The sequence below is a fragment of the Homo sapiens genome, chromosome 16 (genome assembly GCF_000001405.40).
Source record: "Homo sapiens chromosome 16, GRCh38.p14 Primary Assembly".
Lineage (NCBI taxonomy): Eukaryota > Metazoa > Chordata > Mammalia > Primates > Hominidae > Homo > Homo sapiens.
In genome coordinates, this window is record NC_000016.10 from 11,480,177 (window position 1) to 11,504,742 (window position 24,566).

Sequence of the window (24,566 nt, forward strand, 5' to 3'; positions counted from 1 at the left end):
TCACTGCACTGATGCAGAATGTTTCTCAGGATGTGAGTCTCTAGGAAAAGTGAGAAAATAACAGACAAAGGGGATTGTGCATTCTAAGAAAAACTGTTTATATCTAGCGGACCTCCCTCTTTCAAGTCTCTTGCTGCCCCCAGCTCTAGTCCAAGATGCTTTTAACAGCAAGGATTATTGCCCTGCTCATCCTGGTGTTCCCAAGCCCCGGGTTCACCCTTGGTGGTTAGGAAACATGTGACCAAGCGAACCAATGCCCCAACCGTCTACCTTGGTCACTATCAGATGTACATGGCAATGACATTTTATAAGAGCAAAATGTTGTCAATAATCTAAAACTCCAACAATGGGAAAATGGTTATGTAAACTGTGGTTCCTACCCATAGGATGAATATTAAAATACCTGCGAATGGTGAGCTTCTAGTAAGAAAATACTCAAGTGACAATAAGAAGAGAAAAAGTAGGCTAAAGATATATACACCCTAAGACTAAGCAATTTCACTCCTAGGTGTACGCCCGACAGGTATAAATACACACGTTCCCTAAGAAAGCAGGCCCAAGAGTCTTCATAGCACTGTATGTAACAGCCAGCAACTGATGGATACAGAAATTGTTGTTTGTTCACACAATGGAATACTATGCAGCTATGAAAAGGAACAAATTATAAGTACACACCACAGGACAGAGAAATCTCACCAATTTTAAACCAAAGTCAGACACAAAAAGAAGTACAGGAGCAGCACTATTCAGTCTCCAAAAGGCAGCAACAACCCAAATGTCCATCAGTGAATGAATGGATAAACACACGTGGTACATCCATACGATGAAATATGACTTGACCTTAGTTAGGAATGGAGTACTGAGCTACGCTACAATGTGGGTGAACTTCCAAAACACTAGGCTAAGAGGAAGAAGCCAGACACAAAGGTCACATATTATATGGTTCCATTTACATGAAATATCCAGAAGAGGTAAATCCATAGAGACAGGAAGCAAATTGGTGGCTGTTGGAGGCTAGGAGGAGGGGCTGCTGGGGAGTGACTCTTTCACGGGTGCAGTGTCTCTTTTGGGGGTGATAAAAATGTTCTGGAACGAGACAGAAGTGGTGGTGGCACAACATGGTGAATGTACTAAATACCATGGAATTGTTCACTTTTTTTTTTGAGACGAAGTCTCACTCTTGCCGCCCAAGCTAGAGTGCAGTGGTGCAATCTTGGTTCACTGCAACCTCTGCCTCTTGGGTTAAAGCGATTCTCCTGCCTCAGTCTCTTGATTAGGTGGGATTATAAACGCCTGCCACCACACCTGGCTAATTTTTGTATTTTCAGTAGAGACGGGGTTTCACCATGATGGCCAGGCTGGTCTCGAACTCCTCATCTCAGGCAATCTGCCCACCTCAGCCTCCCAAAGTGCTGGGATTGCAGGCATAAGCCACCGCGCCCAGCCCTATTTTATTTTTTATTTTTATTTTTTTGAGACGGAGTCTTGCTCTGTCACTCAGGCTGGAGTGCAGTGGTGCTATCTTGGCTCTCGGCAACCCCTGCCTCCCGGTTTTAAGTGATTCTCCTGCCTCAGCCTCCAGAATATCTGGTATTACAGGTGCACACCACCATGCCCAGCAAATTGTTTTGTGTCTTTAGTAGAGACAGGGTATCACTATGTTGACCCGGCTGGTCTTGAACTCTTGAGCTCAAGTTATCCACCTACCTTGGCCTCCCAAAGTGCTGGGATTACAGACATGAGCCACCATGCCCGGCCAATTGCTCACGTTAAAATGGTTATTTTTACATATGAGAATTTCATCTCTTAAAAAAAAGAGTATGCGGTGAATGATTCCATTTATATAAAGTTTACAAAAGGAACTGGATGTGACTTCTACTGCCAACCAAATAGGAGTAATGAAGACTGGGTTTAACCTCCCACGTGGAGCAGCTGGTAACCCAGATGACACAGGCTCAACAATGGTTCCCAAGACACAGACATCAGGCAATCCAAGACGATGAACCCCAAGAGATGTAAACAAGCAAGATGAGCTCAACTTCCTGCCTGGAGACAGTGTCCAGGCTGTGGTGCAAGGAGGGGGAATGGAGGCTGAGCCAGGGGACTCCCTGAACTGAGGAGCTGGGGGTATGGGGAGTCCCTGGCAGCTGGACTTTGCAGGACAGGATACCAGAGATGAGAGAGCTGAACAGAGAGCATGCTCGCAGGTCTGCAGAAGGTCCTACGAGAATCTCTGTAACATCCCATCAGGCAAAAATTTCTGAGATGTAACAGTCAAAGCTCTATCAGCCAAAGAAACTAATAAACTTGACTTCATGAAAATTAAGACTTCCTGCTATTTTTTGGAAGACACCATTGAGAGAACAAAAAGATACACCACAGACTGGGAGAAAATATTTCTGAGTTACATATCTGATGAAGAACTTGTTTCTGGTCAGCCATGGTGGGTCACACCTGTAATCCCAGCACTTTGGGAGGCTGAGGCAGGAGGATCGCTTGAGGTCAGGACTTCAAGATCAGCCTGGGCAACACAGTGAGACCCCATCTCAACAAAAAGAGAAAAAAACTTAGCCAGGTGTGGCAGTACTGCCTATAGTCCCAGCTACTCAAGTGGCTGAGGCTGGAAGATCACTTGAGCCCAGCAGGTCAAGGTTGCAGTGAGCTATGATCACACCACTGCACTCCAGCCTGCATGACAGAACCAGACCTCAACTCAAAAAAAAAAAAAAGGAAAAAGAAAAAATCAACAACTTGTTTCTGGAGTATAGAAAGAATTCTCAAAACTCAGTAATAAGAAAACAAGCCAACAAAATAAGATGAGCAAAAGATTTGAATGTACATTTCACCAAAGAAGACGTACAATAGCAAATGAGCACATGAAAAGATTATCAATGTCATTAGTCATTAGGGAAATGCAAATTAAAGCCACGAGATACCACAACGCATTATTAGAATGGCTAAAATTAAAAAGTCTAACCATATCGAGTGTTGGTGAGGATGTGGAGAAACTGAAACTCTCACACAATGCTGGTGGGAATGCAAAAATAGTACAACCACTTGGGAGAATGGTTTAGCAGCTTTAGAAAAATTTAAACATATACCTACCATATGATCTAGCCACACCTACTAATTATTCAAGAGAAACAAAAGCATATGCCTAAAAACTTGTACACAAATATTCATAGCAGCTTTCTTTTTAATAGCCAAACCCTGGAAACAGCTCGAATGTCAATCAACAGGTGAATGGAGAAACAAACTGTGGTATATCTATACAATGGAATACCATTAAGCAATAAAAAGAAAGAAACTATGTTATAACCTATAGCATGGGTGAGTCTCAGAATAATTATGCTGAATAAAAGAAGCCAAACAAAAAAGAGTACATGCTTTTTTTAAAAAGGACATGTTGGCAAGCGCAGTGGCTCACACTTGTAATCCCAGCACTTTGAGAGGCCAAGGCAGGAGGATTACTTGAGCCCAGGAGGTTGATACCAGCCTGGGCAACATAATGAGACCCTGTCTGTACAACTTTTAAAAAAAAAAAAAAAACTAGATAGGCATGATGGCACATGCCTATAGTCCCAGCTACTCCGGAAGCTGAGGTGGAAGGATTGTTTGAGCCTGGGGGGCAAAGGTTGCAATGAGCCAAGATCATGCCACTGCACTCCAGCTTGGGTGACAGAGTGAGACTGTCTCAAAAAAAAGGACATGCTGTGTGATCTAATTTACATAATATTCTAGAATATGCAAAGAAGTCTATGGTGACAGAAAGCCTCTCACTAGTTTCTGGGGACAGAGGAGAAGCAGGAGGAAGGGACTTTTTTTTTTTTTTTTTTTTTTTTTTTTTTTGAGACAGACTCTCGCTCTGTCGCCCAGGCTGGAGTGCAGTGGCGTGATTTCGGCTCACTGCAAGCTCCGCCTCCCGAGTTCACACCATTCTCCTGCCTCAGCCTCCCAAGCACCTGGGACTACAGGCACCCACCACCACGCCTGGCTAATTTTTTGTATTCTTAGTAGAGACAGGGTTTCACCATGTAAGCCAGGATGGTCTTGATCTCCTGACCTCGTGATCCGCCTGCCTCGGCCTCCCAAAGTGCTGGGATTACAGGCGTGAGCCACTACGCCCGGCCGCAGGAAGAGATTATTAAGGATCTGGAAGAGACTTTTGGGAGTGATGGGTATGTTCATAAGCTTTATCATGGTGATGATCTCATGAGTGTGTACATGGGTCAGAATGTATCAAACTGTACACCTTAACCATGTACTAGTGTTCACCGTGTGTCAATTAGACCTCAATAAATCTCACTTTTAAAAAGTAGAACAAACTGATGCTGCCAGAAGTCAGAAGAGTGGTTACTCCTGGTTAAGGATGGGTATTAACAAGAACAGGAGTACAAAGGGGAGGGTGGGAGCTGAAGATGGTCTGGGTGCTGGTGACATGGGTGTATTGAGGTGGTGGACAGGCAGGCTGTACACTTACAACTTAGGGACTTTTCCATGCATAGGATCTATTTCAAGCAACAGTTTTTCCAAATAAAGCCAGCTACCAGTGGACTACTCAGATTTGAACCAGCCACTTAATTCTGCAAGGAGGAGGCAGAGTCAGAGTTCACGGACACCCAAGTCTCAGGTTCAAAAGTCCACGCATGAAGCGGGGTGGGCCTGCCTGGGGGAGTACAGTGGGTGTGGCCACCTCCCTTACCTTCTGCTGTAGGTATCTCATCCTTCTGTCTCTGTCTCCTGGACACTCGGGGCTGGCTGGCTGTGGTGCAGGCCCTGGTTCTGGCCCTGGGGGTTCCTCTGGCTCAGGCTCTCTCCCGTCTTCCTGACCCCAGAATGACTTCCTGCCAAACAGCCTGTGAGCAATTTCCTCAGCATTTTCCAGCCGGAGCCCAAGCTGGGAAGGGAAGCCACAGGCTCAGGGAGGAACAATTCAGTCACAGGGGTGATGATGAGCTGTTAGGCTGGGGATATGAATGGAGGACCCAGAAGGCTTGAGCACGGCACTCCAGGCTCCCTGGTGCCCACCTGGGCTGAGGTTCGGGGACACAACCTTGGGAAATCCACCAATCTCTCTGTATCTACTTGGTAGATGCCACACGGTAAGAATTCTTGCCAATTCTTTAAGGCTTGGTTCAAATGTCATCACCTGTGGGAAGCCCTCCCTGAACTCCCATGTCACTCTCTTCCCACCTCCTCTGCCCCACACACAATATACTCAGACTGGAATGTGTGTCTTCCTCGAAAGATCCAGGATGAGGGCAAGGGCTCGTGTATCAATCACTAGGCACCTGCACGACCTCCCCTGGATGGGGGGGAGGGTTTCAAAATTTGATAGGTGAATAAATGGATCTTTCCTTCTGTCCCTCCCGTCTTCCATCTGCCCGTCCGCGCACCCCTCTCTTCACCTATCCTTTCATCCTTCCCACGCATCCATCCATCCATCTGCCTCTCCACCTTCCATCTTTTCTTTCCTTTGTTCTATCCATCCTTATTCCTATCCATCCATCTGCTTTTCCTTTCTTATGGACCCCTCTCCTTCTATCTATTCTTTCTTCCCTTTTTCCATCCAGACATCTCTGATAGCATTTTCAGAGAAGTCACCAGAGACCAGCCCTTGGCAATGACTGGTGAGTGGATGGATGGATAATAGATGGATGTGTGACTCAGAGGATGAAAGATGGATGAGTGGGAAAACAGATGAATAGATAGGTAGGTAGACAGAGATGGATGGGAAATTACAGGGCTGGATGGACACACAGATGGACAGATGGGAGGGTGGGTATGTCCATGTATGGGTAGGAGGGTGGACAGATGAATAAGTGAATGGATGGATGGGTGGGTGGGTGGTTTGGTAAATGGATTGAGTGAATAGATGGATGGATGTATGGATGGATGGATGTATGGATGGATGGACGGATAGATGGATGAATGATACATGGGTAGACAGATGATGGGTGGGTAGACGAATGAATGATGGCTGGATAGATGATGGGAGGGTGGGCGGATAAATGATGGGTGGGTGGATGAATGGATGATGGGTGGGTGGGTGTGTGGTTTGGTAAATGGATTGAGTGAATAGATGGATGGATGGAGGGATGGATGGATGGATGGATGGATGAATGGTACATGGGTAGACAGATGATGGGTGGGTAGATGAATGAATGATGGCTGGATAGATGAATGAATGATGGCTGGGTGGGTGTGTGGTTTGGTAAATGGATTGAGTGAATAGATGGATGGATGGATGGATGGATGGATGGATGGATGAATGGTACATGGGTAGACAGATGATGGGTGGGTAGATGAATGAATGATGGCTGGATAGATGAATGAATGATGGCTGGATAGATGATGGGAGGGTGGGTGGATAGATGATGGGTGGGTGGATGAATGGATGATGGATGGGTGGATGGGTGGGTGGGTGGTTAGATGAATGGATGATGGGTGGGTGGGTGGTGGGTGGGTTGGATGAATGGATGATGGGTGGGTAGGTGGATGGGTGGATGAATGGATGATGGGTGGGTGGTAGGATGAATAGATGATGGGTGGGTGGATGAATGGATAATGGGTGGGTGGGTGGATGGATGAATGGATAATGGGTGGGTGGGTGGGTGGTTGGATGAATGGATGATGGGCGGGCGGGTGGGTGGTTGGATGAACGGATGATGGGCGGGTGGGTGGATGAATGGATGATGGGTGGGGGGGTGGGGGGCTGGATGAATGAATCATGGGTGGGTGGTAGGATGAATGGATGATGGGTGGGTGGATCAATGGATAATGGGTGGGTGGGTGGGTGGATGGACGAGATGAATGAGAGGGATGTGCGTGGATGGACGGATGGACAGATGAGCAGGTCAGTGGATAGATGGAAGGAGGGAGGGAGGGATGGAGTGATGGAGGCATGTAGGTGAATTGATAGATGTATGGACATATCTATGGGCAGGTGGGTGACTAGATATTAGGGGAGGAGATTGAACAATGGAGGCAAGGGATGGATGGACAGACAGGTAAGTGACTGGGATATTTTTTGGCCCAAGTCTAGGAGAGGCCCTGCAGAGGCTATAGCAAGGCTCCCCTCTAACCTCCAGAAGGTTGAAGGCACGGCCCATGGTGTGGATGGTCAGGTTGACTGTGGCAGAACGGGGAAGAAAGGAGGCAGGAGAGAAGAGAAGGGTCCCCTCCAGGTTGGCTCCCAGGCTGCCAGACACTAGGAGTAAGACAAGAACATCAGTACACTCTGTACACTCACAGAGTGGGGTCTGGCTATTACCACAGGGCCATACCCTGAGACAGGGCCAGATACATGGTGTGTCTTCCCACCCCTCCCTGGCCAGGATGGGAAACAGCCTTTAAGCCTTTTCAAGAACAGAGGGAGTCCAGGACACAGAGTCACACACACCCACTTCTGCTGACAGGCAGAGAGGAGGTGCCCAGAGCACCCGACCCCCAACCCCAGGCTTCCCAGAATGGCTGAGGTAGTTTTGGAGCCTTAGGTTGAAAGAGATTCCCTTTTTTATTTTCTGTTTAATTACAACAAAGAGGCAGTCTCAGTGTGGGGCTAATCTCTTTTCTTAACACAGGAAAAAACACTTCTCACAATTCACAGCCCTCAGCAAGCCACAGAATCCAGGAGAATTTAATAAAACAGTGTTTCCGCCAGGCACAGTGGCTCATGCCTGTAATCTCAGCTTTGGGAGGCCGAGGTAGGCAAATCACTTAAGGCCAGGGGTTCGAGAGGAGCCTGGCCAGCATGGTGAAACCCCATCTCCACTAATAAAAATACAAAAATTAGCCGGGCATGGTGGTGCGCGCCTGTAGTCCCAGCTACTCGGGAGGCTGAGGTAGAAGAATCACTTGAACCCTGGAGGCAGAGGTTGCAGTGAGACAAGATTGTGCCACTGTACTCCAGCCTGGGCAATAGGGCGATAGTCCATGTCAAAAAAAAAAAAAAATCAGTGTTTCGTTACCCGCCTCTTGGTGTACAGTACTCCTTTTTAGGACTACCTTCTCTTTACAGAGAGTTAAGGTGATTTTCTATTAATGGTAGTGATAGACAATTTCCTCTTTAACAAAAATATAAGGTACAAACAGCCAATTTAGAGAAAAGATGTAAGTATTCAGCTGAATGCCATAAAATAACTGATATGACTTCTGTCTTCCAAAAAAAGCAGCAGGTGCTATGAAAATATTCCAAAAATATTTTTGAACAAGCAGCATGTAAGTTTTTTGTTGTTGTTGTTTGTTTGTTTTGTTTTTTTTGAGACAGGGTTTACTCTGTCACCCACGCTGGAGTGCAGTGGTGCAATCATGACTCACTGCAGACTTGACCTCCTGGGCTCAAGCAATCCTCCTGCCTCAGCCTCCCAAAGTGCTGGGATTACAGGTTTCAGCCACCACACCCAACTGACATGTAAATATTTGACCCCTTGACACAACGTCTGATCCACATGCTCTCAAGAGCTGGAGCTCCAGGGTCCCCCAGCCTTTGTGGTTCCAGAGCAGGACAGGGGCTGCCCAGGATGGCCATACCTGATCGGAAGGTGACATCAGAATAGGACGAGTGTTTCCACATTTCTGGGTGGAACTCCTGGCTGAGGATGTCCTCGGGGAGGGTGTCCCGGAGGGCCCGTTTCAGGGGGTCGTGCGTCTCCAGCAGCTGCAGGATGTGACTCCACACAAAAGAACCCACTGGAATAGAGTCGTGGGCAGCAGGGAGGGGCCGTGAGGAAAGGGCCAGGAGCTGGCGCTGTCCAGAGAAAAGACCCTCCCGACCCCCATCCCAGTCCTGCAATTCCCACGCACGGGGGCTTCTCAGGAGTCTGGCTACAGAGACCTACGTCTTCTCTCAAACAGCAGCCAACAAGTCGTGCCTGAACAGAACTTGGAAATCCAGCCCGTGTATGGAATTCTGACACACTTCCCAGAAGAGAAAGGAAGGTGTCATGGACTCAAAAGTCAGACCTGAGTCTGAATCCAGTCCCAAAGCTCAAAACCTGTGTGACCTTGGGGTGGTCCCTCTGCCTCTCCGAGCCTCAGTTTCCTCATCAGTGAAAATGAGAAGTCAGACCTGATTTCAAATCCTAGTTCCACCATGTACCACTGTGGCCTGAGATGGTCACTCCAGCTCTTGGAACCTTAGTTTTCTCATCTGAAGAAGGAACTAACAAAGTATCTTGCAGGGCTTTTTGGGAAGATCAGTTAAAAGCAGAGCCTGGACCTAAAAAGACTAAGCACATTTCAGCATCAACAAAAGGTGACATGTGACCCATGAAGGTCCCTGGAGGGATAAAGATCAAATAAGAGCCTCAGGGGACTGAATCCAACGGGAATATTAGAGTCCTACAGGGAGCCCCCAACCCTCCCCCCATTGTCTCAGGCTCTTAGAAGGTCCAGTCAGGGGCTTCTGGAACAATCTATCACAGAATAGAGCAGAATGTGGGTTTTTAGGGATAAGGTGCCCACTTATTCCCACTGGACAATATATCAGGTGGTACCCCAGGGCCACTGTGGAGGCTGAGCCCCTCAGCTGATCCCCTGAGGAGGGGTTTAGCACACATCACACCCCATGCCTGAAACTGCCAAGGCAGAGAGGTGTATCTTCCAATAGTGCCATCTCTTCAGAATGTAATTCAGCAACGTCACATCAGACTTTTAAATGTACACACCCTTTACCATGGCAACTTATCTTCTGGGAAATTATCCTAAAGTGAGATTAACTCAAGGGCCAAAGGTAGCTGTGCAGGTAGGTTTGTGGTTGTTGCTTCTAACGGCAAAAGACCAGAAACAGCCTAAAGGCCTATCAGTGGAGACGGGTAAAATGGGTTATAGTACAAACTTCTGGCGGAACACCCACACAGCCACAGATCAGAGTCCACAAGAGCTATAGATGAGAGACAAGCTCCTAGACATGCTAAAGACAAAAAGCAAGCAGCAGGCTGGACCCAGTGGCTCATCCCTGTCATCTCAAGCACTTTGGGAGGCTGAGGTGGATGGATCACCTGAGGTCAGGAGTTCGAGACCAGCCTGGCCCACATGGCAAAACCATCTCTACTAAAAGAATACAAAAATTAGCCGGGCATGGTGGTGTGCAGCTGTAATCCCAGCTACTCAAGAGGCTGAGTCAGGGGAATTGCCTGAACCCAGAAGGCAGAGGTTGCAGTGAGCCACAACTGTGCCATTGCACTCCAGCCTGGGCAACAGAGTGAGACTCTGTCTCGAAAAAAAAAAAAAAAAAAAAAGTCCGGGCGCAGTGGCTCACACCTGTAATCCCAGCACTTTGGGAGGCTGAGGCGGGCAGATCATGAGGTCAGGAGATTGAGACAATCCTGGCTAATGTGGTGAAACCCCGTCTCTACTAAAAGAATACAAAAAATTAGCTGGGCGAGGTGGTGGCCACCTGTAGTCCTAGCTACTTGGGAGGCTGAGGAAGGAGAATGGCATGAACCCGGGAGGCAGAGCTTGCAGTGAGCCAAGATCACACCACTGCACTCCAGGCTGGGTGACAGAGCGAGACTCCGTCTCAAAAAACAAAACAAAACAAAAAAGCCAAGAGCACAACAGCAAGTAGAACATGATCCTGAGAGGCTATTGTTAAGGAGATACGTGTGTATGTTTACCTATGTATTACAAGTTCTGATGTAATACACAGGAGAACTGTTCACAGTGTGTATCTTCAGGACATAGGAAAATACTGGGGGGAAGAGGAAGGAAGACTAATTTTCCATTTGTCCCTTGCCTATGCTTTAAAATTTTGACTATACAGCTACACTGCATTAATAATAATAGCAGTAGTGATAACAACATTAAAAGCAACAGTCACACATATGGCACTTACTATGCTTTCTAAATGTCTTTGTGTATTAACTCATTTTATGCTCACAACACTCTATGAGGGAGGTACTAGCATTATCCCTATTTTACAGGTACAGAAATGGAGGCTCACAAAGGTTTACTTACTTGTCTAAAGGCATACAGGAAGGAAGAGGTGAAGCTGGGATTTGAACCTGGGTTCTCAGGCTCCAGGCTCTCACCCCACTGTGCATTATGGAAAATTTTTCAACAATCAGTTGAACTTATTTTTTTGAATTTACATCTTTGCGTTCAGGTGCCTGTATAAAGGGAATTGTCTCACTCCAGAAGGGATCTAGATTTGCCGACGCCATCCCTCTTCTATCTTAGGTCTCTCTTTAGGATACTGTGTCGTGATCTGGCCAGAGCTAAAAGAGGCCTCACTGATTCCCATCCTATTTTACAGATGAGGAAACTGAGGACCAGAGAGGAGAAGCAACTTCTCCAAAGTCATCCAATGGCAGAATGGGGACTGGAATTGCCATGTGGGGGAGGGGAGAATACATAGCCCCTTATCTAGACAGTGTGGTAGAGAAACAGGGGAACAAGAACACAGCAGAATACCAAAGGGGTGGAGGGAGAGGATGCTCTCAAATCCCCTGCACTCTTCAGGAGGTGCCCTCCCAGCCCCACCCCTGCCCACACCCCTCCCACACACACACCCATGGCTCACCCTGGGTGGAGAGCTCGCCTGCCTGGGTGCGCCGCACCTGGGCAAACACCTCCTCACTGGGGCATCTCATCAGGGCCAGGTAGGCATTGATACGGATCTCAGCATCCTCCTCCAGGGATTGGTATAGACGGGAGAGCACCGATCTCTGGCTTGGGCAGAAGGAAAGCCATCACCCAAGGCCTACCTACCTCCACCCAGGAGTATGATGTCCCTGGCTGCAGCAGGTGGACCTGCTGCCTAGCCCCAGCTGTCCTGATGCCCCTACTGCGGGAGGCTTCCCCGACACACACTCACCTGTGGCGCAGCTGTGGGAGGTAGCAGGGGTTCACTGACCTTGCCTAATTCCCAGTCTCTACCAGCCCCAGCCTAGAGCCTCATCAATTCCCCAACAAATGGGCATGGCTACGTTCCAATAAAACTATTTACGAAAACAGCATAGTGTCTCGCCACACAGGAGGCCTTTAAATGTCTTGGCCTTCCTAGGCAATTCCTAAGCAATTCACCTCCCCACATTGTGACTCCCTCAATACCTATTGGCTTCCTCCACAGCCAGCCAGCCAGCCAGCCACCCACCCACCCACCCATCTATCCATTCACCCATCCACCCACCCATCATCCATCCACCCACCCATCCATCCATGCAACAAATATTAACATAAGCAACAACTATGCACTCAGCACTGTGCTAGGTGACAGCCATAAACAAGACCAACTCAGCCCCTGTCCACCTGAAGCTGGTATCCTAGTGCAGGGAGACAGTCAATGAGATTAGCATGTGAAATACATAAAAAGTTAGGTGGTGGCCGGGCGCGGTGGCTCATGCCTGTAATCACAGCACTTTTGGGAAGCCGAGCTGGGAGGATCATGAGGTCAGGAGATCGAGACCATCCTGGCTAACACGGTGAAACCCCATCTCTACTAAAATTACAAAAAAATTAGCCGGGCGTGGTGGCGGGCACCTGTAGTCCCACCTACTCAGGAGGCTGAGGCAGGAGAATGGCGTGAACCCAGGAGGCAGAGCTTGCAGTGAGCGGAGATGGTGACACCGCACTCCAGCCTGGGTGACAGAGTGAGACTCCGTCTCAAAAAAAAAAAAAGTTAGGTGGTAATAAACCCTAAGGAAGGGAAAATGAAATGGGGAAACAGGACCAGAGCCAGGGGGACCTGGGAGGTTCAATTTCAGGTGAAATTGTCAAGGGAGACCTCACAGTGAAAGTGCCTTTTAAGCTAAGACGTACAGGATGTGAAAAAGAAAGGCCTGGGGACATCTGGAGGAAAAGTGTACCAGGAAAGAGCATGTGCAAAGGGCCTGGGGCAAGAGAGGGTCACAAGTGTTTGAGGAAGAACAGAAAGGGCAATGTGCTGGGGAGGAGGGATGGGAGGTGACAGGAGCAGGTGAGGCCCAGAGGTCAGATCCCTCAGGGCCTGGGAAGTCAATGAAGGGACTGTAACTTTGACTCTGAGTAAGAAGGGAGGTAGTGGTCCAGGGATTAGCAAACTTTTTCTGTAAAGGGACAGAGAACTCTTTTAGACTCTGCAGGCCATGCGGTCTCTTGCAATGACTTGACTCTGCAGGTGGAGCAGGAAAGCAGCCATAGATAACACCTAAGTGAGTGGGCATGCCTGTGTTCCGATAAAACTTTATTGAGAAAAACAGACCAAGGGCCAGGTAGTGGCCCATGGCCCGTAGTCTGCCAAACCCTGTACTAGAGGGGGCACAGATGGCACTGGTAATCATATGGTTGTGTTTTTGATAAATAATCTGCTTCCCACACTACACACAGGCTTAGACCTGGATACCTGTTCACACTAGTACCCAGCCCACAGTAGGTGCTCATTAAATACATGATGAATGAACAACTGAATAAGTGAATTAGCAAACTGTGGTTCGAGACCCACCACCACCCAACCCCAACCCCATGAAACAGCACACAAGGGCTCACGTCTGCAGAGCAGGGGACCCTTCGGAAGGCCTGGATGGCCCCCAGCCGGATCTCGGGTGTGCTGCTTCTCAGAGATGCACAGGCACTCAACGTAGGGGTGAGAGCCATGGCTGCCAAGCCCGCGTTGCCGACTGCCTTCAGCACAAGCTGGAGCTAAATCGAGATGGAGGTAGGACCATGAGGGGCAGTGGCGTGGGGGGCGGGGCAGTGGCGTGGGGGGCGGGGCAGTGGCGTGGGGGGCGGGGCAGTGGCGTGGGGGGCGGGGCAGTGGCGTGGGGGGCGGGGCAGTGGCGTGGGGGGCGGGGCAGTGGCGTGGGGGGCGGGGCAGTGGCGTGGGGGGCGGGGCAGTGGCGTGGGGGGCGGGGCAGTGGCGTGGGGGGCGGGGCAGTGGCGTGGGGGGCGGGGCAGTGGCGTGGGGGGCGGGGCAGTGGCGTGAGGGGCGGGGCAGTGGCGTGGGGAGGGGCAGTGGCGTGGGGGAGGGGGCAGTGGCGTGGGGGGAGGCAGTGGCCTGGGCGGGGGCAGTGGCATGGGATAGGCAGTGGTGTGGGGGGTGGGCTGTGAAGGGCATTTACCCACCTTCTCGGGGTAGGGGCCAATTTCTGTCCCCAGCCACGCTCCAGACCCCGCGGGCCAGCCTGGCGCCTTCCTGGGCATCTCAGCCCATTCCCCCTTCCCCCCTTCACCCCACCCCCACTCAGTGGTGTTGGGGGGCAGTGGTGTGGGGGGGGCAGTGGTATAGAAGGGGCAGTGGCGTGGGGGGGCAGGCAGGAGGGTGAGGAGACGGGTTGAAGTGGGGAAGGGGGAATGAGGGATAGGAGGAAGGGGCAAAGGGGGGAACCCACCCCCACCCTCTCCACCTGGAGCTTGCCTGATTCGCTTCGGCCCCACTGGGGGCACTGAAGCCGGTACTCAGGACACTGGATGTCCTCACCTTGTCATCATCCGAGGGCTCCTGGATGGTACAGTTCTCACCCAAGGCGTCTCCCAGGATCCTCACTAGGGAGCCGACTCCAGGCAGCTGGCCGCAGGGCCCGTCCAGAGAAGCACAGAGGTTGTGCACCAGGGCTGAGATGCCCAGGAAGGCGCCAGGGCTGGCCCTCGGGGTCTGGAGCAGTGGCTGGGGACAGAAATCGGCCCCCACCCGAGGTGGTGGGTAAATGCACTTCACAGGCCTCACCCTGGCCACACACCGACTCACCTGGGCAACTTCATAATACAGAGCTGAGTCCCCCAGAGTCTGAACAAATTGCTCTTTTCAGGGAACATTTTAAAAGCACCCCAGAGGCCAGACACGGTGGCTCATGCCTGTAATCCCAGCACTTTGGGAGGCCAAGGCAGGTGGATCACCTGAGGTCAGGAGTTCGAGACCAGCCTGGCCAACATGGCAAAACCCCGTCTCTACTAAAAACACAAAAATTAGCCGAGCATGGTGGTGTGTGCCTGTAATCCCAACTACTCGGGAGGCTAAGGCACAAGAATCCCTTGAACCCGGGAAGCAGAGGCTGCAGTGAGCTGAGATTGTACCACTGCACTGCACCCTGGGTGGCAGAGCGAAACTCTGTCTCCAAAAAAAAAAAAAAAAAAGAAAACAAAACAAAAAAGGCACTCCATGTGGCCCACGACTCAGACGCCCAGCTACCCTCACTCCAGGGCTTCAGTGAAAGGAAGGCAAACAGGAGGGGGTTCAGGACACAGCTGCTCCCTGCCCCAGGCACCTCAGAGAAATCAGACCAACAAATCTTTTTTTTTTTTTTTAAGATGGAGTCTTGCTCTCTCATTCATCCTGGAGTGCAGTGGCCCTATCTAGGCCCACTGCAACCTCCACCTCCTGGGTTCATGTGATTCCCCTGCCTCAGCCTCCCACGTAGCTGAGATTACAGACACGTGCCACCACCCTTGGCTCATTTTTCTATTTTTAGTAAAGCCGGGTTTCACCATGTTGGCCAGGCTGGTGGTGAACCCCTGACCTCAAGTGATCTGCCCGCCTCGGTCTCCCAAAGTGCTGGGATTACAGGCATGAGCCACCGTGCCTAGTCTAGACCAACAAATCTTAGTAAACAAACTGTGTTCACTACAAGCCAGACTGCTGATAACATGTCACACACGTTGCCTTTCTTATCATTCCCATTTTGCAGAGCAGGAAGCTGAGACACAGGAAGCTGAGACACAGAAAGGGTAAGGGACGTGCCTCAGGTAGCCCACAGCTATAGATAGAACTGAGACTTAACCCAGGAGAGGCTGGCTCCCAGGCCAGGCATGATACCAACACTCACGGCTTCTCAAAATGCAAATTCTGGGCTCACTCTAAAATCCAGCCCTGGGGCCCTGGCTGTGAACAGGGGCCTCTGTGCTAGACCCACGTCACTCCAGAACAGGGACTGCTTGGCAGCTGTGGAGAAATAAAATCTCTGCCTAGCTCTGTCCTTTTTTTTTTTTTCTCGAGATGGAGTCTTGCTCTTGTCACCCAGGCTGGAGTCCAGTGGCACAATCTCAGCTCACTGCAACCTCTGCCTCCTGAGATCAAGTGATTCTCCTGCCTCATCTTCCTGAGTAGCTGGGATTACAGATGTCTGCCACCACGCCTGGCTAATTTTTGTATTTTTAGTAGAGATGGGGTTTCACCATATTGGCCAGGCTGGTCTCGAACTCCTGACCTCAGGTGATCTGCCCACCTCAGCCTCCCAAAGTGCTGGGATTACAGGAGTGAGCCACCACGCCCGAGCTGCCCAGCTCTGTTCTTTCTCTGGATTCGTGACTCTTCACCAGATCTGTGTTACTACGCTAGGGTGTGAGCACACTGTGTGAAGGTGTGAACATAAGCATCTGTGTGTGTGCATATTGGTGTGTGCTGTAGAATCCTAGTGCTTGTGGGTGTGTACGTTCCCACTTGGGTGTGCAGGTGTCTCAGCGCACTCGAGTACCCTAGTATGCGTGTATTTCCTGGTGGATGCCTGTGCACACGTGTCCCCATGTGGGCATCTCGTGTGTCCCATTGGATGTGTGCATGTGCCCATGCGTCCAGGTGCGTGTGTGTGTACTGTGTGTCCCTTGTGTGCCCACGCACAGCCCAGTGTGTCTTGGTGTGCCTATGCATGTGTCCAGGTGTGGGTGGCTGTCTCCACACGTCCCACTGGGTGAGTGTCCTACTGTGTGTATGTGCATGTCCTGCCATGTCTTCACATGTGCATACACTGGGGTGTATATCTGCATCTCCAGGTACGTGAGTCTTGGCGTGTATGCCTCAATGTGTGTGTGTGTGTGTGTGTGTGTGTGTGTGTGTGTGTGTGTGTCTTGACAGGTCTATGGTGTGGGTGTGTGTCCGTGCATTTCCCCATGTGGGTGTCCTGGGAAAGCCTGCCTCAGTGTGAGCCTGCAACAGTGTGTGTAGGTCTGTGTGTGTACACGTGATCCAGCATGTGTGTGCATATCCCTGTGTGTTTGTGTGTCCCTGTGCCTTGGTGTGAGCCTGTGTCAGTGTACGTGCAGGTCTGTGCATGTACACATGATCCAGTGTGCGTGTGCACGTCCCAGTGCAATGGGTGCCTGCTTCAGTGTGTGTGGGTTGTGTCCCATGTGTGTACACGTGCGCTCAGGATGCATGCGTGTGGGTCTTGGCGTGTGCATCTCACTGCATATTTTCTTTGTGAAAGGACAGGGGTGTGTGGAGCCTGGAAAAAGCACATTCAATGTTTCCCTATATTTGAGCAAAGAAAACAAAGCTGTCTGTTTTCTTAATACAGAGCAGGGCAAGCGGGCTTGGCTGGGAGGGCAGGGGTTATAAAAAGACTAAGAAGCTCTCCGGCACATGGGAGGGGCCGCCTGCTGGAGGTTCCCGCCTCTGACTGCTTTGCCCAAGAAAGGCGGCGGGGGCACAGACAGGGCAGGCTCGGGCCTGTCCCAGACCAAAGCTGGAGCCAGAAGCCTGGTCACAGCCTGCAGGGCTGTGGGGCAGGCTGGTGCCACTTGGCTGGCAGAGAGCCCAGATCTGTGAGCCACTTCCGGTGGCCCTGCCAGGACAACTGGGCCAGCATGAGGCCTGGGTGCTGAGCAGTCCACACAGTAATGACCCAGTTGGTTCTGTGTATGGCTGCCCGGGGGATGAACCCAGAAGGGCCAGCCTTCCCTGTTTTCACAAAAACCAGAAACCACATCGCAAAGAGAAGAACAAACAATTTTGAAAGGGAAATAAATTTAAAAAAAAAATGGGAGGAGAAGAAAACAATCTTAATGCAAAAATCTCTAACGAAGGCTTACTTACACTTCAGTTAGAAGTCTGTTTAAAATACTCACTTTTTCATTTTTAAAGATGGAAAAATAAAATTACCCTCAAACCTGTGACCCTTATTAAGCTGATTTCACTTTTCCAACATGATTCTAAAGCTCAGTCATCATGCTCAAACCAACCCTCCCTGAAAAGCTAAGAAAACAGAACTGGGAGAAGACAAGCCAGGAAGCACTGGGACCTGGGGGAGATCAAACACCAGCTACAAAGCATCAAGAAGCCACACTTCACCAACATGAAGAACTTTTGTTCATTGAAAGACACCATTAAGAAGGCCGGGCGCAGTGACTCATGCCTGTAATCCCAGCACTTTGGGAGGCCGAAGCAGGCAAATCACATGAGCTCAGGAGTTCGAGATAAGCCTGGCCAACATGGTGAAATCCCATTTCTACTAAAAATACAAAAAAATTAGCCGGGCCTGGTGGTGTGCATCATAATCCCAGCTACTCAGGAGGCTGAGGCACGAGAATCACTTGAACCCGGGAGGTGGAGGTTGCAGTGAGCCGAGATTGCGCCACTGCACTCCAGCCTGGGCAACAGAGCGAGACTCCGTCTCAAAAAATAATAATGATTAAATAATTAAATAAATAAATAAAATTAATCCGAAATTAAAAGTTCATTAAAATACTCTCTCCCTGCTTGCCCCTCACTCCCCACTTCCCACCCCCCTCCTCTCCCCAGGCTTCACGAACCCGGTGCATTCCCAGAACCTGCCAGGGCTCATGCAGGGCCTTGCTGACTCGATGACAGAACAAGAAAATACAGCCCAGAGAGGCATGAGCTCTGGCCTGCACATGGAACATCACATGTGAGGCAGGTAGAGGAAGCTTCTGGGCTCCACAAGCCGATCGATGCCACCTGCTTGGCTCAGTGCTGTGTCCCAGACTAATGGCAACAGCCACTTCCCTCCGCACACACCATACAATTCACCTGGTCTGCAAGGTCATTCTACAAAATAGTCCCATTGTCCAGACGGGGAAAATTGAGGCCTGGGAAAGTAAAGTACCTTGCCCAAGGTCCTGCTGGTGAGGAATGGGGCTGGGATCTGAAATGAGGAAGTCCAGATGGGTTTGTGCTCTTAGTTACTGCACATGAATCGAACATATGTACAAATAAACGAGTGAAAGGAGGAAGGGGGGGAGGGGGGAAGGGAGGAAGAGGGGAGGGGGAAGGGAGAAAGGGGGCAAAGAGAGGAAGGGGGGAAGGGAGGCAGAGGGGAGGGGGGAAGGGAGGCAGAGGGGAGGGGGGAGGGAGGCAGAGGGGAGGGGGGAAGGGAGGCAGAGGGGAGGGGGGAAGGGAGGCAGAGGGGAGGGGGGAAGGGAGGCAGAGGGGAGGGGGGAAGGGAGGCAGAGGGGAGGGGGGAAGGGAGGCAGAGGGGAGGGGGGAAGGGAGGGAGAGGGGAGAGGGGGAAGGGAGGCAGAGGGGAATGGGGGAAGGGGAAGGAGACAGACATTTCCAGGGAGATGGGCTAAGCCCAGGGCAGGTCTTGGGTGGTTCTGGCATTCCTGGTGGCCAGCGTGCCACCTGCTAGGCTGTGAACTGTGGGTGATGCCTCTTGGGACCCAATCTGGGCCTGGCTCTGAGTCAGTGCCTGATTCTTGTCTGCTGAGCAGAGCCAACAACACAGTCTACCTGGAACAGCCCCACCTCAAACCCTGCGGTCAGGGGCCAGAAGGCAAGGGCTCCCTATATTCCACCTGGAGGGACAGCCAGGGCTGGACCAGCTCCAGGGGCTCTCAGATCCTGGTAGGGTCCATTCTACCAATGCAGGGGTCTCTGATGCCCCCAGGGACCCCAGCTGCCTGGCACCAGCTGTGTCTTCACTCCCGCTCCCTACCGATGCCATCTGACTTGGCACTCACTATTAGCCGGGACAAGATGGGGAGTGACAGGTGACACCCCCTTGCCCAGGAAAGTGAGGACACACCCCAAGGTCTCAGGTCAGAATTGAGGTGAAGGGCAGAGCAGCTGCAATCCCTTGGGCAAGCTGCCCTACCTCTTTGGGCCTCGGTTTTCTCACCTGCAAAATGGGGTTGATGAGAGCACCTACTTCATAGAGACACCTCAAGGGTTAAATGAGACCTCCACATATCGTAGAAATTATTGACCTCATCTCACACAGATTTCCTAATCTCCAGACTCATTAAATATGTGTGTTTATAAATATAATAGCTCTGATTTCAAGTGCTCAGATTTAGTGCCAGACACCAGGAGAACCACTTCACACACAGCATTTCATTCCTCACTATAAGACCAGGATAGAGGTACCACTGCCATCCTCCTTATAGAGACCAGAAAACAGTCGGGCGTGGTGGCTCACACCTGTAATCCCAGCACTGTGGGAGGCTGAGGTGGGTGGATCACTTGAGGTCAGGAGTTCGAGACCAGCCTGGCCAACATGGCGAAACCCCGTCTCTACTGAAAAAAATACAAAACTTAGCCAGGTGGGGTGGTGCATTCATGTAGTCCCAGCTACTTGGGAGGCTGAGGCAGAAGAATTGCTTGAACCCAGGAGGTGGAGGTTGCAGTGAGCTGAGATCGCACTGCTGCACTCCAGCTTGGGCGACAGAGCAAGACTCCGTCCTAAATAATAATAATAATAATAATAATAATCAGAAAAGAAGCTCAGGAAGGTTAAATCACTTGCCTGGGATCACACAGGTGGGAGGCACATTGCTGACCCTTGAACCCGGAATTCTCTGATACCAAAGGTTGCCTTGAACCCGCCACAGAAGCCCAGGAGGATGGGTGGTCTGGCCTCCTCTGCTTATCCTACGAGGGGCTGGCACAAAAGAACTGATCACCTCCCCCACATCTAACCAGCAGCCAAGCCACGGAGGGAGGACACCGGGGCCCCGGGTGGGGTGCAGGGACTCACCAGCAGCATGTGGACCATAGCATCTGTGGGCTGTGGGAGGAAGGCCAGTGATGAGAGCCACGCCTCCACCTCGTCTGCCTCCACCGCGGCTGATGCGATGAGTTCCTTCATGAGGCCCACACAGTGCTCCGTCCCACAGGAAGGCAGGGCATCCAACAGTGGCTGCCTGAGATCATCAAGGCGACCCACACGTGCTGAGCGCCTGCAAAGCTCATCTCACCGAAGTCACCCGGGGGTAAACTGAGGCTCAGAGAGGTACGGTGCAGACATGCCCACCCTCACACCTTGGGAGGGGCTGACCCGGGTCTGGGACCCCGCAGTCTGGCTGAGGCCCGTGCTCTCAGCACAGCAGCACCCAGCCCAGACCCCGGCAGCTCTACCCACCCAAGAAACACTGGTGTGGGAAAACACAAGTCCGTACCCAGTGCTCTGCTGAAACCCACCCAAGCAAATGTCACCGAGAAGGGGTAAAAATCCCTAGCGGAACAGGAACCAGCAATCAGCAAACAGTCCCTAATTTAAACCTCGAATACTCAGCACAACATCAGGACATTTATTTTTTCTTTTTTTGTGAGTTAGGGTCTCACTCTGTCACCCAGGCTGCAGTGCAGTGGTGCGATCACACCTCACTGTAGCCGCCACCTCCTGGGCTCAGGTGATCCTCCCACTCAGCCTCCCAAGTAGCTGGGACCACAAGTGTTCGCTACCAAGTCGAGCTAACTTTTAAATTTTTTGTAGAGATGGGGGCATTGCTATGTTGCCCAGGCTGGTCTCAAACTCCTGAGCATAGCCGTAAGCTGACTGAGTTAGTGCCTCAGAGATTCCCCTCTGAGATTGGGAGTCTCTTTACCCGCCTTACTAGCCCCAGATCAGCAAGGTCTGGGTGGTGGAATGCCGGCCCTGCCCAGCACCCCCCAGCCCAGACTCTCCACGCCCCCAGCAGGAGGGTACCCTAGGTGCATTGGAATGCTAATTCCAGCAAGAGGGTCCCTGTCTGGGGAAGGGAACAATGGCTGTCTTTATCCGCCAGGCCCTTCAGCTTCTGGTCTCAGGCAGGATAGAGCTTGGACCCCGTGGGAACCTCCAGGCTCCCCACTTAATCTCCTTCTTGGCGCACATTCTCAGACTGAAGGACAAGTCAGTGTCAAGGGGACGGGATGACGCATCAGCATCCATCCCTCACTGGGAACCCAGGACAGCACGAAGACTCCTTTAACCCAGGGATGCCCCCAGCCAGCTCCTAGTCCATCCCCCACCCGGAGAGGGACCTTACCCATTGTCTCGGCATTTGAAGGAAGAATATTGCCAGAGTTCCATCAGCTCACCCCCAGAAAGGCCCTGGAGCTGGGACACCAGTGTCAGGAACAAGTCCATGGCCTGCGATTCAGAGGGGGCAGCATGAGACACCCAGCAGTGCGGGGGATCCCCGAAGGTCACCTCACCCGTCCCCTGCCTGTAAGCACAACCGTGGGGAAAGTGGGAAGGACCTACCACCTTCTCCCAGGATGTGCTGAGACCCAGTGAGATGAAGCTCCAGGTCTGGCTTCTCCCTCACTGCACCCCAAGCCCCTACAAGCATACAAGCTGGCTCATTTTTCTCTGATTTAGCAGGTATTTATTGAGCACCTACTATGTGCCTTGCATTGCACTCAGGATATGGCAGTGAAAGAACAGGCATAGTGTCTGAATCTGTGGCATCTAATAAAACCCCAATAAATGTTCACTATGATTGTAATATAATTATTCTAATGAGTCTTAGCATATTTCAAATATTTAGCGAGGTGGCAATCTTTTCCTACATAATATACATACTCTTTTTTTTTTTTTTTGAGACGGAGTCTCACTCTGTTGCCCAGGCTACAGGGCAGTGGCGCAATCTCGGCTCACGGCAACCTCCACCTCCTGGGTTCTAGCGATTCTCCCGCCTCAGCCTCCTGAGTAGCTGGGATTACAGGCACCTGTGACCACGTCTGGCTTATTTTTTGTATTTTTAGTAGAGAAGAGGTTTCACCATGTTAGCCAGGATGGTCTCGATCTCCTGACCTTGTGATCTGCCCGCCTCGGCCTTCCAAAGTGCTGGGATTATAGGCATGAGCCACCACACCTGGACCACCTTTTTTTTTTTTTTTTTTTTAAGAGACAGGATCTCCCTCTGTCTCCCGGGATGGAGTGCTGCAACACAGTCACTTCTCACTGCAGCCTCAACCTCCTGGGCTCCAGCGATCCTCCCACCTCAGCCTCCCGTGTAGCTGGGAATACTGGTGTGCATCACCACGCTCAGCTAATTTTTTTGTATTTTTCATAGAGATGAGGTTTCACCATGTTGGTCTCAAACTTCTGGGCTCAAGTGATCCTCCCACCTTGGCCTCCCCAAGTGCTGGGATGACAGGTGTGAGCCATCGCGCCCACCCTTTTCCAATATTCCTAATAAAAAAATTGTTTTATACAATTATTAACAGTGATGGCTAATAAAGGGCATTATAGGGGGTGCAGAGGGCCCAAAACTCACAAGAAATAAAGGACTCTACTCAGAGAACAGCCCCTGGGTTTAGGAGATGTTTAGTTTGGAAAACCTTCCCTCCTGGTACCCCTGAAGTCTCAGGCTCACTGCATTGGCCTGAACCCAAAGCCACAGAAACAGCAACAAGGTAGGAGCCGAGCCAAGCCAGGTCCCAGCTTCCTGCAGGGAAGCCCCCATACTTTCCCCAGGCTTGGCCAGGGCCAGGCCTGAATCCCCCACCCACCCAGAGGTCCTCCGAGGCTGGGACCTGCTTCCCTGACCCTGGGCCTCCCTGCTGTGTGTGGCTGTGACAGAATCCCTGCACACGCAGCTCGATCTCAGCAAGACGCAGCCTGCAAAACAGGCCCTCACTGGTCACTCGGCCCACCTGCCAACGTGTCTGCCCACCAGAGTCCCGGCAGCCTTCCCAGAATGTGCCTTCTGTGGTCAGAGCCAGTGGCAACCCTCAGCTCTGTCTTTCCTTCCTCCGGCAGGACCCACAAGCCAGCCCCTGCTGCAGGCTAACTGCCACCATCGCAGCTGGCCCTGACCACTGGTAGCCTAAAAGACTCTATTGCCCAGTTTGGGGCGTCTATCCAAAAAATGTCAGTTCCAGGCCTGCTTCCTTCCTTCCTTCCTAATGGGCTCGGCCACATTTCCCTCTGGCTGGTGGCTGCCTTTCCCCAGCTGCCCTTGGCACCCTGGGTTCGGAAGACGTGTGCAGATGGGCACCTGGGGATGGTGCCTGCCCGGGACCACTCCTCCTCCTCTGGGCAAGCCTCTGGCCACAAGTGTTACCCTGAGAATGCGCCTTTCAGATCCAGGCACGACAGGAGGGATCATTAGTGGCTTATCCTGGTTTCCCTCCACTGGAGGAAGAACAAATTCAAAAGGAGAAAAGAGGGCAGATCTAGGCAGGCTACGGATGGAGGCAAAGGGTCCAAGGCTCCTGCCTAGAAATCAAGTCCAGGGCCTGGCGCGGTGGTTCACGCCTGTAATCCCAGCACTTTGGGAGGCCGAGCCGGGTGGATCACTGGAAGTCAGGAGTTTGAGACCAGCATGGCCAACATGGTGAAACTCTGTCTCTACTGAAAATACAAAAATTAGCCAGGCGTGGTGTTGCATGCTTGCAATCCCAGCTATTCAGGAGGCTGAGGCAAGAGATCACTTGAACCAGGAGGTGGAGTTTGCAGTGAGCCGAGATTACGCCACTGCACTTTCCAGCCTGAGCAACAGAGCGAGACTCCGTCCCCCCCCCCAAAAAAAAGACGGATACGTAGGTCGATAAGAAAACTGCCATCCCCATCACCACCAATAACACATGATAATAGTGATAAGGCTGGGTGCAGTGGCTCATGCCTGTAATGCCAGCACTTTGGGAGGTCGAGGCAGGCAGATCACTTGCGGTCAGGAGTTCAAGACCAGCCTGGCCAACATGG

At 51.3% G+C, this 24,566-nt stretch overlaps 1 protein-coding gene across 3 annotated transcripts in view, besides 6 other annotated features; it reads right to left on the reverse strand.

Annotated features, from left to right (window-relative positions):
- Nucleotides 1-24,566, reverse strand: part of LOC400499 (putative uncharacterized protein) — a 155,563-nt gene that overhangs the window by 108,162 nt on the left and 22,835 nt on the right. For all 3 annotated transcript variants that reach the window (NM_001395505.1, NM_001370704.1, XM_047434105.1), the window contains exons 9-16: nucleotides 21,901-22,004; nucleotides 20,628-20,793; nucleotides 14,399-14,584; nucleotides 13,468-13,620; nucleotides 11,525-11,669; nucleotides 8,533-8,691; nucleotides 7,086-7,210; nucleotides 4,703-4,897 (exon numbers count right to left, since the gene is read on the reverse strand). In NM_001395505.1, the coding sequence (NP_001382434.1) occupies nucleotides 4,703-4,897; nucleotides 7,086-7,210; nucleotides 8,533-8,691; nucleotides 11,525-11,669; nucleotides 13,468-13,620; nucleotides 14,399-14,584; nucleotides 20,628-20,793; nucleotides 21,901-22,004 (1,233 nt within the window). The remainder of the gene's footprint in view (nucleotides 1-4,702; nucleotides 4,898-7,085; nucleotides 7,211-8,532; nucleotides 8,692-11,524; nucleotides 11,670-13,467; nucleotides 13,621-14,398; nucleotides 14,585-20,627; nucleotides 20,794-21,900; nucleotides 22,005-24,566) is intronic.
- Nucleotides 13,995-14,991: an enhancer, noted in NCBI's record as "H3K27ac-H3K4me1 hESC enhancer chr16:11588027-11589023 (GRCh37/hg19 assembly coordinates)". NCBI's record gives its function as "activates a minimal SCP1, AML or CMV promoter by ChIP-STARR-seq in naive H9 embryonic stem cells {active_cell/tissue: H9 hESC(naive)}" and the evidence as "EXISTENCE:reporter gene assay evidence [ECO:0000049][PMID:30033119]".
- Nucleotides 17,170-17,219: an enhancer, noted in NCBI's record as "active region_10446". NCBI's record gives its function as "activates an Ori minimal core promoter by ATAC-STARR-seq in GM12878 lymphoblastoid cells {active_cell/tissue: GM12878}" and the evidence as "EXISTENCE:reporter gene assay evidence [ECO:0000049][PMID:35858748]".
- Nucleotides 17,170-17,491: a biological region, named in NCBI's record as "Sharpr-MPRA regulatory region 8116".
- Nucleotides 17,197-17,491: an enhancer, noted in NCBI's record as "tiled region #8116; HepG2 Activating DNase unmatched - State 1:Tss". NCBI's record gives its function as "activates a minimal TATA promoter and a strong SV40 promoter by Sharpr-MPRA in HepG2 cells {active_cell/tissue: HepG2}" and the evidence as "EXISTENCE:reporter gene assay evidence [ECO:0000049][PMID:27701403]".
- Nucleotides 17,983-18,531: an enhancer, noted in NCBI's record as "H3K27ac hESC enhancer chr16:11592015-11592563 (GRCh37/hg19 assembly coordinates)". NCBI's record gives its function as "activates a minimal SCP1, AML or CMV promoter by ChIP-STARR-seq in naive and primed H9 embryonic stem cells {active_cell/tissue: H9 hESC(naive and primed)}" and the evidence as "EXISTENCE:reporter gene assay evidence [ECO:0000049][PMID:30033119]".
- Nucleotides 21,265-22,196: an enhancer, noted in NCBI's record as "H3K27ac-H3K4me1 hESC enhancer chr16:11595297-11596228 (GRCh37/hg19 assembly coordinates)". NCBI's record gives its function as "activates a minimal SCP1, AML or CMV promoter by ChIP-STARR-seq in primed H9 embryonic stem cells {active_cell/tissue: H9 hESC(primed)}" and the evidence as "EXISTENCE:reporter gene assay evidence [ECO:0000049][PMID:30033119]".